General features: G+C 49.8%; 2 annotated features.

Moving 5' to 3' along the window:
• Nucleotides 6141-6656: an enhancer, noted in NCBI's record as "H3K4me1 hESC enhancer chr8:11815165-11815680 (GRCh37/hg19 assembly coordinates)". NCBI's record gives its function as "activates a minimal SCP1, AML or CMV promoter by ChIP-STARR-seq in primed H9 embryonic stem cells {active_cell/tissue: H9 hESC(primed)}" and the evidence as "EXISTENCE:reporter gene assay evidence [ECO:0000049][PMID:30033119]".
• Nucleotides 6657-7174: an enhancer, noted in NCBI's record as "H3K4me1 hESC enhancer chr8:11814647-11815164 (GRCh37/hg19 assembly coordinates)". NCBI's record gives its function as "activates a minimal SCP1, AML or CMV promoter by ChIP-STARR-seq in primed H9 embryonic stem cells {active_cell/tissue: H9 hESC(primed)}" and the evidence as "EXISTENCE:reporter gene assay evidence [ECO:0000049][PMID:30033119]".

Genomic DNA, 13728 nt, shown 5'->3' with positions numbered 1-13728 from the left:
GCCAAAGATCTGCTTGGAAAATAAGTGGGAGGAGTCGCTGGAGGAATGCTTCCTCTTCTCTCTGTATCTATGTGCTTTCTGCTGTCCAGGTCCTCCTCCCTGAGCTGCCCGAGAGCTTCTGGGACCCAGGAAGTTTGGAGTCACCTTCACACGCATACTTAGGCCTCCCTGCATCACCCACCTGCAGAGTCAATCTCAATTCTCTAAGAGCTGCTGGAACCAGGAGGAGGGGCTGCCCAGTGTTCCCGGGTGGAACAGCCCTGAGGACATTTCTATGGGAATTTCCCGGGTACCCTGGAGGGAGACGATACCCTTTCCCACTGAGAGAAGAGGTTTGGGAAGGAAATGAGGGGGATGGGAAAGGTTCCAAAATGGAATCATCTGTGAGATCTCAAGGGAACAGGCTCAGATGTAAATTTCATCATCAGCTGATCATCTAGAGCCTGCCTGGAGTCAGCGGCAAGGCTGTTTCTCCAGATGCTGGGAGAGGGGGTGCTGATATTGAACATCTGCATCCCTGCTGTGAGTGGCCCCAACAGAGAGCCCCCAAGGGCCTTGGCCATCACTGCCCCCTGCATCCGGAGCCCTCCCCAGGACCCATGAGCCCCCAGCTGAGTGTCCAGGGAGCCGAGGAACTGCACCTGAAGGCCTCTCCCAACAGCACTCTTGAGCGAGGCCCTCACCCACAGAGCACGGCAGGATTCATGAGCTGCTTTCACATAACGTGGACAGAGTTCATTATTCCATTTTCTTTTAGAGAAGGAAACCGCAGCTCAGACAGTAAAATGATCTATACAAAGCCATATAGCTAGTGAGTAGGGGAGCTGGGAGTCCAGGCAGCTGTCCTGACTCGCAGTCTAGCGCTCTTTCCATTCGAATGCAGTGAAAAAAGAAGAACCAGGTTGATTATTTTGGCCTAAGCTTTATCATCTATTAAAAGCTAATCCCAACCCCATCTCCCCAAACTCTTGCTGCCCGGAATGTGTCCAGAAAGTACTCATGGGCTCAAAGATCGAACTTCCAGGGAAGAGAGATGGACATTGCAATTTCTGCCGAGAACCTCAGGACACATATTCCACATCCAACCCTGGGGACCTCCCAAGACAAGTGAGCTCGCTCCTCTTCTCAGCCCTCACTCTGCTCCGATCTCCAGGCTAAAGCACCCAGCTGCGTTGATTCCCAGGACACTACTCAGAGCTGTGTCTGAGCGGCCCCCACTCCTGCTGCACTCCCATTTGTTTCAAGCAGGATATTTCACATCTGGTCCTGCCCGAAGACAGAGAAAGAATGGGATGCTCTTGTCTCTAATCTCAGATTCCAAAATTCCATGAATACAGCTTGAGACCAAACTCATTTTGTGGGAGTTCACACCACTGACTACTCATATGAATTTTCCATCTACAAAAGCCAGTCATGCTTTGTCTCAAAGATGGTAATTAACCTTTACCTTCCCAAAATGGATGCTTATGGTACTGATTTTGGTTTTACCTGAGGGTGCAACCTTCCATTTATCCCAGTTTGACTTCATTTTATTAGACTTGGCCTCTCATGCCAACCTGTTGAGATCGTCTAGGTTTCAGATTCTGCCACCCTCTGGCGTGGCAAGAAACTCATTGTAGGGATGGGAGAGATGGACAGCACCTCTCCCAGGATTTTTTTCTTTAAGAGACAGAGTCTTGTTCTGTCACCCAGGCTGGAGTGCAGTGGCACCATCATGGCTCACTGCAGCCTCAATCCTCTGGGCTCAAGCAATCCTCCCATCTCAGCCTCCTGAGTAGCTAGGACTACAGGTGTGCACGACCATGCCTGGTTAAATTTTAATTTTTTATAGAGATGGGGGGAGGGTCTCACTATGTTGCCCAAGAAGGTCTCAAACTCCTGGCCTCAAGTGATCCTTCTGCCTCAGCCTCATGAAATGCTGCGTTTGGATTACTATTATTTTGGTAGAGAGGTGCAACCAGCTAGGCTTAGGGAACGCCTGTACCCCGCGACTTCATCCTGGGATCCCTGTCTTGAGTTGTGTAAGTTTGGGGCAACAATGAGTAAACTATGAGGTGGGGGAGGTCAAGCTTTATAGGCTTCTGCCCTTGTCTACTGCTGGTTACTTCCTCCTTCACCGGAGCACCTGCCACCCCACTCTCAGCAACGTTCATCTCGAAGAGGCTGAGACAAGCTGAATCCACAAAGGGAATCTCAATTGTAAGGATCAACAAACTTTTTCTGTGAAGGCCAGAGAGTAAATATTGTAGGCTTTGCAGGGCATGCAGTCCACATCACAACTACTCAACTCTGTGATGGAGTCAAAGTAGCTGTAGACAATATATGTGTGAAGCCGTGTTTCAATAAAACTTTATTTATACAAACAGACAGTTGTCAGATTTAGCCCACAGGGTGCAATTTGCCAACTCCTACTCCACTGGGATATTTCAGCTGCTGTGGCCTACCACAGAGCGCCACACAGAGAAGCTTGCACCAAGACTCTGCCCTCAAGCAGCTTCTAATCTACACGTTTGTGAAAGATGAGTAAGTATAGGAAGGGGGAACATGTAATAATATTCTTTCATATCATCACAGCTTTTCCATTCACTCCTAGAGGGTTTACCCTGCACTCGCTGTGTGCCAGGCACTGTGCTCGGCCCGTGGGAAGGTAGAGATGAAGTCCCCACACTGCCCCAGGGAGTGCCCCATTCCCTCTGGAGCTGTGTGAACAAGGCTCTGGCCTTCTCTCCAGGAATACCAAAGGGAGCACAGAGACCAGAGGGCAAAGGAGGAACGGCAAAAATGGAGTGCCTAAATCACCTGCACACCTTCCGTCCTCAGCCCTCCGGTGTGACTTTGGATGACTTATGAGCTCTAAATCTCAGCTCCTCCTCCTATTTGAGGAAACAATGCTTATCCCCAAGGATTGTTATGAAGCTTAAATGACACATGTGCAAAGCACAGGGCCTGAAACAAACTAGATGCTTACTAATTGATACTTTTGTTTCTTTATCTATGAAAGGATAAAAAAATACTTCCCAATGGGGCTGTGCAAGATGGATCACACCTGTAATCCCAGCATTTGGGAGGCCAGGGTGGGAGGACCACTTGAACCTAGGAGTTCAAGACCAGCCTAGGCAACATAGCAAGACCCTGTCTCAAAAAAAATTTTTTTAATTTAAAAATAATTTAAAAATTTTTCAAAAAGCTTTCTGATGAACACTACTGCTGACCATTCCATGCAATTCTGAGTAGTGTTATTCCCTCTAGAGCATCCCAAAATGCCAAAATTCATTCATTTATTCATTCATTCAGGTATTCTTCTTACAAACATATAATTCTCGCCTACTATGTAAGTAGACACCCTCCAAAAAGCCTGGAGGTCTGTCCTCTTTGAGTTTACAGCATAGTAGAGATGATAAACTAAAAAATAAATAAAAATAAACAAGCTAATAATTACAAAAATGGCAATTGTTTGGAAGGAAGAGTGCAGGGAAAGATTTATATATGTACATGTGCGAACGTGTGTACATACATACACACATGTAATGTGCTGCACAACATACGTACCACACTCAGATCAAGGTATCAGATGTTCCCACCACCCCAGAAAAGTCCCTCATGCCATTCTCAGGCATTAACCCTACCAGAGACAACTACTACTCTAAATTCTGTGACCATCAGTGAATTTTGTCTGTGGCTGAACTTGGTGTTAATGGAATCACACTGTGTGCAGTCTCGTGTGACTGGTTTCTTTTGGTCAAGGTTATGTTTATTAGGTTCATTCTGTTTGTGGAAGAGCAGTTCATTCTTTTTTATTACTGTCTATACCACAATGTATCTGTTCTCCTATTGGTGAGCATTTGGCTTGCCTCCACTTTTTGGTTATTAAAAATAGAGCTATTGGCAGGGGGCGGTGGCTCATGCCTGTAATCCCAGCACTTTAGGAGCCCAAAGTGGGTGGGTCACCTGAGGTCAGGAGTTCAAGACCAGCCTAGCCAACATGGTGAAACACCGTCTCTACTAAAAATACAAAAAAATTAGCTGGGTGTGGTGGCGGGCGCCTGTAGTCCCAGCTACTTGGGAGGCTGAGGCAGGAGGATTGCTTGAACCAAGGAAGTGGAGGCTGCAGTGAGCCAAGATCATGCCATTGCACTCCAGCCTGGGCAACAAGAGCAAAACTCTGCCAGGAAAAAAAAAAAAAAAAAAGCTGCTATAAACCTTTTTGTACACGTATTTTTTTTAAATACATGCACTGATTTCTTAGTAAATACCTGAAGTTTCCAAGTTGTTCGCACCAATTTAATTCTCATCAGCAAAGAGGGAGAGCTCCATTTGCCACACATCTTCACAAACACTCAGCATTGTCTGTCTTCTACATTTTCACCTTCTGGTGGGTGTGTAGTGGTATCTCATTGTTTTTTCATGGGTTTTGTTTTGTCTTGTTTGAGACAGAGGTTCCCTTTGTCGCCCAGAGTGGAGTGCAGTGGTGCGATCTTGGCTTGCTGCAACCTCAGCCTCCCAGCTCAAATGATTCTCATGCCTCAGCCTTTTAAAATTATTTTTTGTTTGGCAGGGCACGGTGGCACATATCTGTGATTCCAGCACGAGTAGCATGCCACTACACCCGGTTAATTTTTGTATATTTTATAGAGATAAGATTTCTCCCTGTTAGCCAGGCTGCTTTCAAACTCCTGACCTCAGGTGATCCACCTGTCTCGGCCTCCTGAAGTGCTGGAATTACAGGCGTGAGCCACCATGCCCTGCGAAACAAAAAATAATTTTAAAATTATCCAAATGTGTCTCTTTAAAAATTTTTGTTGTTGTCGTTTTGAGACAGAGTCTCCCTCTGTCGCCCAGGCTGGAGTGCAGTGGCGCAATCTTGGCTCACTGCAACCTCCACCTCCTGGGTGCAAGCGATTGTCCTGCCTCAGCCTCCCTGAGTAGCTGGGGCTACAGGCATGCGCCACCACGCCCAGCTAATTTTTTTTGTACTTTTAGTAAAGACGAGGTTTCACCATGTTGGCCAGGCTGGTCTTGAACTCTTGACATCAGGTGATCCACCTGCCTCGGCTTCCCAAAGTGCTGGGATTACAGGCGTGAGCCACCGTGCCCGGCGAAAAATATTTTTTCACTTCCATTTATCCAACAGTTCCTGCTGTTTTGCATACCTGGCACTAAATGTCTTCTTCCGCTTTCCTGTTCCCCACTTCTTTTGTGGGATCCACTGGAAGCCTCCCTTGTGGACTGTGACTCTTTCCTGCCACCAGGTGGCAGACTTTGCCTGCTGTGCCACCTCTCCTGCCTGCTCAGTGTCGGTGGGAGTTGGGGGTGGACAAGCTGAGAGAGTTCTGTATCTTTTCTGAAGTTCTGCTTGGCGATCAATTGCTTCCTTTTCTTTTTGGTCCTCGTGGTCAGCACAATGCTTCGGATAGAGTCAGCATTCAATAACAAGCAAAGCAGACACAGTTTTTGTTTGTAAGTTAAAGTTCTAGAGGCCTATTGCATAACAATGTGTGTCTATGTAACACGACTGAACCGTACTCTCAAAAGTGGTTATGAAGATAAATTTCATGTTATATGTTTTGCAGCACAATTAAAAGTAAAAAATAAAAAAAAATAGGCCGGGCACGGTGGCTCATGCCTGAAATCCCAGCACTTTGGGAGGCCGAGGTGGGCATATCACCTGAGGTTGGGAGTTCGAGACCAGCCTGACCAACATGGACAAACCCCGTCTCTACTAAAAATACAAAATTAGCCAGGCCTGGTGGCACATGCCTGTAATCCCAGCTACTCGGGAGGCTGAAGCAGGGGAATCGCTTGAACCTGGGAGGCGGAGGTTGCAGTGAGCTGAGATCGCGCAATTGCCCTCCAGCCTGGGCAACAAGAGTGAAACTGCGTCTCAATAAATAAATAAATCAGGCCTTTCTTTACCCAACCCCAACCCCAAGGTGGCGCTCATCATCATGTGCTTACACCTCCTGTTATCATTTCTATCAAAAATAATAACAATAACACAAAATTGAAAAGCAAAGTAGATTAATGGGTTGGGCACGGTGGCTTGTGCCTGTAATCGCAGCATTTTGGGAGGCTGAGGCAGGTGGATCGCCTGAGGTCAAGGGTTCAAGACCAGCCTGGCCAACATGGTGAAACCCTGTCTCTACTAAAAATACAAAAATTAGCTGGGCGTGGTGGCCTACACCTGTAATCCCAGCTACTTGGTTGGGAGGCTGAGGCAGGAGAATCGCTTGAACCCAGGAGGCGAAGGTTGCAGTGAGCCGAGATCGTACCATTGCACTCCAGCCTGGGCAACAGAGCGAGACTCGTCTCAAATAAATAAATAAATAAATGCAAAGTAGATTAATGAAGGCAAAGCCTCTCTTTGCATAATTTCTCTACAAGAATGTCCACTCTCCAAATTCTCTGTGACCTGTTTGCAGAACGTGACAGTTTACAGCAATAAAGGCACACGAGGTTACAGCTGTGGCCTTCCTCTCGCAGCAAGGGGGAGCTAGGGCCCAAATAAACATTCAAACCAAGGAGCACAGCAGTGAGTGGCCTAATGGTGGGATAGCGGGAGGCTGCGCACTGGGTGAGGCCGTCCCAGGGGAGACCCTCCTGCCACTGCTGGGTCTGACGCAGGAAAGCAGCCCCTGCTGTGGGCCCATGAGACAGCTGCCAGAAGGCCAAGCTGCCCATGACAGCTCCTTCGCCTGCAAACACACACACACATGCCTGGAGATGGATCTGGCAAGGCCCTTGGAAATCACCTCTGAAGATGAGTAAACTGAGGCTCGGAGAGGCAAAGGAACATTGTCAGGACCACACTGTGAGGGAGGCCAGAAACCGCACTGGATCCCAGGTCTGCGGAGGGGCAGCCCAGTGCCCCATGCACTACACCATGTGCATTTAAGGAAGGAAGTTGGCAAAAACGATGGGTGGAAATCAGTTTCTGACCACTTAGAAAGTGGAAATCCTTAGCAAAGATAAGTTGATAAGATGTATCAATTGGGTTTAATTCTGTAAAAAGTTGTACATTCAAAATGTATATAAAAGGAAAGACACAAATTTGGAAAACAAGGGAGGTGGAGGCAAAACAAAAATATTAATAATAATCAGTGAAGAGAACAGCACCGTGCTGGCCCAGTGGCTCACGGCTGTAATCCAAGCAATTTGGGAGGCTGAGGCGAGCAGATCACTTTAATCTAGGAGTTCGAGGCCAGCCTGGGCAACATAGAGAGACCCTCCCCCCACCCGCACATCTCTTTAAAAAATAAAAACATAACTGGGGCCAGGTGCAGTGGCTCACACCTGTAATCCCAGCACTTTGGGAGGCAGAGGTGGGCAGATCACTTGAGGTCAGGAGTTCAAGACCAGCCTGGCCAACATGGTGAAACCCCACACTAAAAATACAAAAATTAGCCAGGTGTGGTGGTGCGTGCCTGTAATCTCAGCTACTTGGGAGACAGAGGCAGGAGAATTGCTTGAACCTGGGAGGCAGAGGTTGCAGTGACCCGGGATCGCACCACTGCACTCCAGCCTGGGTGACAGAGTGAGACTCCGTCTCAAAAAAAAAAAAAAATGTAGCCAGATGTGGTGGCGCACACCTGTGGTCCCAGCTACTCCAGGGGCTGACGTGGGAGGATCACTTGACCCCATGAAGTAGAGGCTGCAGTGAGCCAAGATTGCACCACTGCACTCCAGCCTGGGTGAGAGTGAGATCCCTCAAAAAAAAAAAAAAAAAAAAAAAGAGTACCAAGAGAACAGCACTGAAAGATGTTAGAGACTTGGATGCAGTCAGCCTGGGCTCTGCTCAGTGTGTCACTTACTAGCTACATGACATTAGGAAAGGTATTGAACTTTCTGAACTTCAGTTACTCACTGGTAAACAGAAAAATAATAATTGCACAATACAGCATGAGGAAGTTAATGTAGTTAGCCCAATATCTAGTACCTCATGTGAGTTCAGTAGATGTTGAGTGCATCTGATTCTATTCATTGATGATAAGAATTGATAGCACATGTCAGACCTACACCCAGATTCCATTTGACAAGATAGAATTTATGAAAAATCCAAGCTTTGCTGAGGTCTAGATAGAAAATTTGCAAACTGCGTAGGGCTTCCCTCAAAGAGCAACAAATCACAGAAGCGCCAGACAGCAGGGCCAAGTGTTTACAGTGCTGAATGCCCTTTCAGTCCTTTTCATCTTCCATAGACTGTAGGACAGTGTGTCTTCCAAGATGCGTGCTCACATCCGATCACGGAGGAAATCATTCAAAACATTAGCTAGAGAACATTAGCAAGAAGCCTACAGACCGCCCCGCCCCACCCCCCTCGCCCCGCCAACCCCCCACCGCCCCGCTGACATTTCAACCGAGCTCCTGTTCTCCCTTCCTGATTTTCTAACAATGCACAGGCCCTGCCCTCGAGCCACCCACCCACTGCCTCCCGAGCGATGGGCACTCCCAGACAAGACCCAGGCTTTCCTCCCTGCGGCGCCAGCCTGGGAAAAGCAGACAGAGCACGGGCCCTGATGGCCCCTCCGCCGGCTCCCCCAGCCCTTCCCTTCCCTGGCACCAAAACAGATGACTTCATCTGAGGGATTCAGCTATCAGCCAGCCAGCCCTCCGGAACGGGAGCGGAAGGGAGCACCAAGGCTGGCCTCTGCTCTGGTTACTTTGGCACAGGACGGGGCTCTGTGGAGTGTCAGCCACAGCCTTCAAATCAGAGGAGCCACAGCCTTGCTCCAGGGTCCCTGCCACCCGGGGCCAGCACTGCCCCTGCACGTGGCCGCCTCTCCCAGCCTGACCTCCTCCCTCCTCCACACTGCGCTGGGGTGCACAGCAGCTGAGTTAGGAACAGATGACAGAGGAGCCTCCCTTTCTGAGTCCTTGCTCCCCGTCCTGAGCCCCCAGGCTGCTGACCACAGTCCATTCATTTGGTCCACGTTGAAAGTCTCAGTGCAGTCCAGTCGTTTTTAATCCAGAGCAGGAATTAAAGCCTCGATCACTGTCTAGATCCGGGTGTCCACTCTCCTGCTCCTCAGCCCCCTTCCTTGACGGCACCATATGTGACTATGGAGGGGCCCGCAGGGAGTGTGGGGAGAGTTGCTCAGGCAGGTAGTGGCCCCAGGGAAACCGCTACATCCCACCTCGGCATGTCACTGCACTGGTGGCTTTACTGTTGGTCTTTTTCCACCTGGTCCAATGCTTTACAAGTACTGGTGGCTGCCCTGGACGGAATGGAGCACCCCTAAGAGGGCACACACTGGAGTTGGGCTTGGGTTTCCCACAGCCATGTGAGCTTGCACCAAGTAAGTTACCTAACCTTGCTGGACCTCAGTGCTCTCATCTGTAAAACGGGGACATAATTGTTACCATCTCAGCACATTGTTGTGATAATTACTACTTTATGCCCAGTGCATAGTAAGCACTCAATAAATGCGAGTTTTTTTGTTTTGTTTTGTTCTAAATAGAGTCAGGGTCTCCCTCTATTGCCCAGGCTGGAGTGCAGTGACACGATCATAGCTCACTGCAGCCTTGACCTCCATGAGTTACTTTTGTTACCTGGGTCTGTCTGGTGGTGAGGGTTTCTATGATATATGATGGCCTTGGTGGGGTAGTCAGCTTCAGCCGGACTTTCTCAGTTCGACTACACCACCCTTCGAGTGTATAAGTGGGGGCTCTGGACCCCCAAGGTAGCCCCGGACTCCTACGTGCTGGATCGTGGGTTTCAGGTGTCCTTCTCTGTTTCAGCCTGGGATGGGACACACTGCAATTCCTGGTGTCCAGACACATCAGAATCACTAGATGGAGAAGTAGGCTTTGCCCAACATCAGAAGAGAACTGGGCCTGGCATGGCGGCTCACACCTGTAATCCCAGTACTTAGGGAGGCCGAGGCGGGTGGATCACTTGAGGCCAGGAGTTTGAGACCAGCCTGGCCAAAATGGCGAAACCCCATCTCTATTAAAATTACAAAAAATTAGCCAGGCATGCTGGCACATGCTGCTTGGGAGGGTAAGGCATGAGAATTGCTTGAACCAGGGAGGCGGAAGTTGCAGTGAGCCAAGATTGTGCCATCCTGGGTGACAAAGTGAGACTCGGTATCAAAAAACAAACAAACAAACAAAAAACAGAAGAGAACTGTGTCATGCCTCTTCTGCACCCAGAGGGGCAGGTGCCAATGGATGGAGAATGCTCTTCCCTTCTCAAAGCTCCCCAAGAGGGGCAGGTGCCAGTGTATGGAGAATGCCCTCCCCTTCTCGAATCTCCCCAAGTCAATGTTCTCACTCAGACACCACTCCCTGGGAGCAACTTCCTATGCATCTCAGGGCCCCAGAGGCCAGTTTACTCTGTTGAGCCTTTGTGCAGGCTCTGAGTGACTCTCGTTCACCTCTTTGTGGCTGGGACTCATCTCCATGGTAGAGCCTGCTCCTGTCTCTTAAAGGGTGGGTGTGGGACAGGGTCAGGGAGTAACCCCAGGAGCAGGAAGGGCCGTGGACACTGTTTCTCATCAGATTTCACGTTTTTACCCATCTTCTGCCCACCTCTGAGGGATCCTTGCATGTGCATTAGGCTCTTCTGTCTCTCTACCTGACTAGCGTGCGTTCCCTGCCCCACGACACCTCCGCAGATTGGGAGGGTGTTTATGGGTCTCCATCTTGTGCTTGTGAACATGGAAAGGAGAGAGCCAGTGACCACCCCGCCAAGCAGCTTTTCCCAAAATCAGATCAGGGTCTTCTGGTTCTGGTTTTGGAGAGGAGCCCCGACGTCCAGCCAGTTACCCCAAGAGAGGATGCTCACTCTGTCCCTAGAGTGACAGTTGAGTAAGGTCCCAGAGGGCTGACCTCCACGCCTCTCTCTGCACAGCCTGGGAGTCATGGTTAGTGATGACCTGCAGAGATTCCTGCTGAGGCCACGGAGGCCCTGCCATGCGCTGAGCACTGGGGAAGCCCCCAGGCACCTACATGCCCCTAGACGGGAAGACCCTCCAGGCCCACAGTCTTCATGAGATGCCATTTTTTAATGGTGAGAATGAGTGTTGGCGAAAGTGCCCATCAACAGACACTGCCACGCTTCACGGGGAATAGCAAACCCGAAACAAACCTTTTGGGACGCAACTGGACTCTGTAGCTCAAAACACTTAAAAACCAGGTCCCAAAGGCACTTCCAGTGTTCTCCTTGACCCTCCCCTCTCATTTCAAACCTCATGTCCAACTCAAATCTCCTCTCAACACAACTCCAAATCCCTGGCTGCTCTCCTCAGCTTCATTCCTGCCCTGACCCCATTGTTTGCGTTTGGTTTTCTGTGCACCTGACATTAACCCTGAATTGTCTTTTTTTTTTTTTTTGAGATGGAGTCTCACTCTGTTGCCCAGGCTGGAGTGCAGTGGCGCAATCTGGGCTCACTGCAACCTCCGCCTCCTGGGTTCAAGGGGTTCTTGTGCCTCAGCCTCCCGCATAGCTGGAATTACAGACACGTGCCACCATGCCTGGCTAATTTTTGTAGTTTTAGTAGAGATGGGGTTTCACCATGTTGGCCAGGCTGGTCTCGAACTCCTGATCTCGTGATCTACCCGCCTTGGCCTCCCAAAGTGCTGGGATTACAGGCATGAGCCACTGCTCCCAGCCTAACCCTCAATTCTTTTACAAAATTTTGGCTTGGATTCACCTCTCTGACTCTTCCCAGGACAGACGGACCCAGGTAGGATGCTCCCAATGGCCCCTCATGGCTGAGCACATGGCACCCGGGATGTGACTGCTACTGCCATGAGGGTATCAGCTATTCAGTAAATAAGAAAGTAGGCCAGGTGCGGCGGCTCACACCTGTAATCCCAGCACATTGGGAGGCCGAGGTGGGGGGATCACTTGTATTCAGGAGTTTGAGACCAACCTGGCCAACATGGAGAAACCCCATCTCTACTAAAAGTACAAAAATTAGCCAGGTGTAGTGGTGTACACCTGTACTCCCAGCTATTTGGGAGGCTGAGGCAGGATAATTGCTTGAACCTAGGAAGCGGAGGCTGCAGTGAGCTGAGATTGCACCACTGCACTCCTGCCTGGGCGTCAGAGCGAGACTCTGTCTCAAAAAAAGAAAGGGATGGAAGGAAAGGAAGGAAGGAAGGAAGGAAGGAAGGAAGGAAGGAAGGAAGGAAGGAAGGAAGGAAGGAAGGGCGGGTGGGTCTAGGTTGAGCACAATAGCTCACACCAGTAATCCCAGCACTTTGAGAGACTGAGGTGGGAGGATTGCTTGAGCCCAGAGGTTCGAGACCAGCCTGGGTAACATAGTGAGTCCCGGTCTGTACTAAAAATTTAAAAATTAGCCCAGCCCAATGTGGTGGTGTGCACCTATAGTCCCAGCTACTTGGGGGGCTGAAGCAGAGGGATCTCTGGAGTGTGGGAGGTTGAGGCTGCAATGAGCTGTGATTGCACCACTGCACTCCTGCCTGGGTGATAAAGCAAGACCCTGTTGGAAAGGGAAGGGAAGGGGAGGGGAGAGGAGGGGAGGGGAGGGAGGGAGGGAGGAAGGGAGGAAGGAAGGAAAGGAGAAAATAAAAAGTAAAAAGTCAGGCCAGGCATGGTGGCTCACGCCTGTAATCCCAGCACTCTGGGAGGCTGAGGCAGGTGATCACCTGAGGTCAGGAGTTCAAGACCAGTCTGGCCAACATGGCAAAACTCTGTCTACTAAAAATACAAAAAATTAGCCGGGCGTGCGTGGTGGCTTGGTGGCGGGTGCCTGTAAACTCAGCTACTTGGGAAGCAGGAGAATTGTTTGAACCCGGCAGATGGAGGTCGCAGTGAGCCAAGATCACACCATTGCCCTCCAGCCTGGGAGACAGAGCAAGACTCAGTCTCAAAAAAAAAAAAAAAAAAAAAATCTGAGGGTTTGGGGTTTCAATCAGACTGGAGAGAAAATGACTCGGGCTGTGTCTAAGAAAAAGGCCAGTAACTTCATCAACTAGAGCTAAAAATATTAGGCATATATACAGGCAGCCCATAACCAACTTCCAGACAGGCTGCCCCTCAAGTCCACCCTTAATGTTTCTTTCCCCCTTTTTAACAATGTGACATCTACTACCAGTGTTAGGGGCTGCGTAGTGCATAAGTGCAACTTTCTCTGTCCACCCCTCACTAAGGGTGTCCACAGGGGTCTAAGTCCTGAGAGCATGCCTTCCAGAGCATCTGGCCTCCCTCTCCTCCCTCTCCTCCCTCTCTTCCTTCTAGGGCGCTACCATGTGGTGCAAGTTTCCAAGAACATGGCCCATGGCTAGGACCCCAGATTTCAAGTCCAGAGACCTGGGTTCTTTCTTTCCCGTCTGTGCGACCTTGAGTGAGTCATTTAACCTTTGTAGGCTACAGTTTCCTCATCTGTGACAGATACAAGAAGTCTTGCTCTTTCTCCCTTCCAGGTGGTAGGAATCAAACAAGACCACCAATGTGGGCGACTCCACACTCTTCAATGCCTGCCACAGTCTCCAGGTTTCCAGGCAGAGTCTCCCGGGCTCCAGCCTCTCCTCCCAACCCTGGATATGGGGACAAGGAGCAACCTGATCCCGGGCCTCAGATCAAGATAGAACTTCCCGCCATCCTGAGGAAGTGAGAGCCCCACTCACCACTCCAGACGCCCTTCCCCATGACTTCACTTGACATGCAGAGGAAATGACGGCTGGGCACACTGGCTCACGCCTGTAATACCAGCACTTTTGGAGGCCAGAGCAGGAGGATCACTTGAGGCCGGGAGTTTGAGA

This window comes from Homo sapiens, chromosome 8 (assembly GCF_000001405.40).
Source record: "Homo sapiens chromosome 8, GRCh38.p14 Primary Assembly".
Classification (NCBI taxonomy): Eukaryota; Metazoa; Chordata; class Mammalia; order Primates; family Hominidae; genus Homo; species Homo sapiens.
The sequence above is the reverse complement of the archived record's forward strand: the minus strand, read 5'-3'. Positions and strand labels throughout refer to the sequence as shown.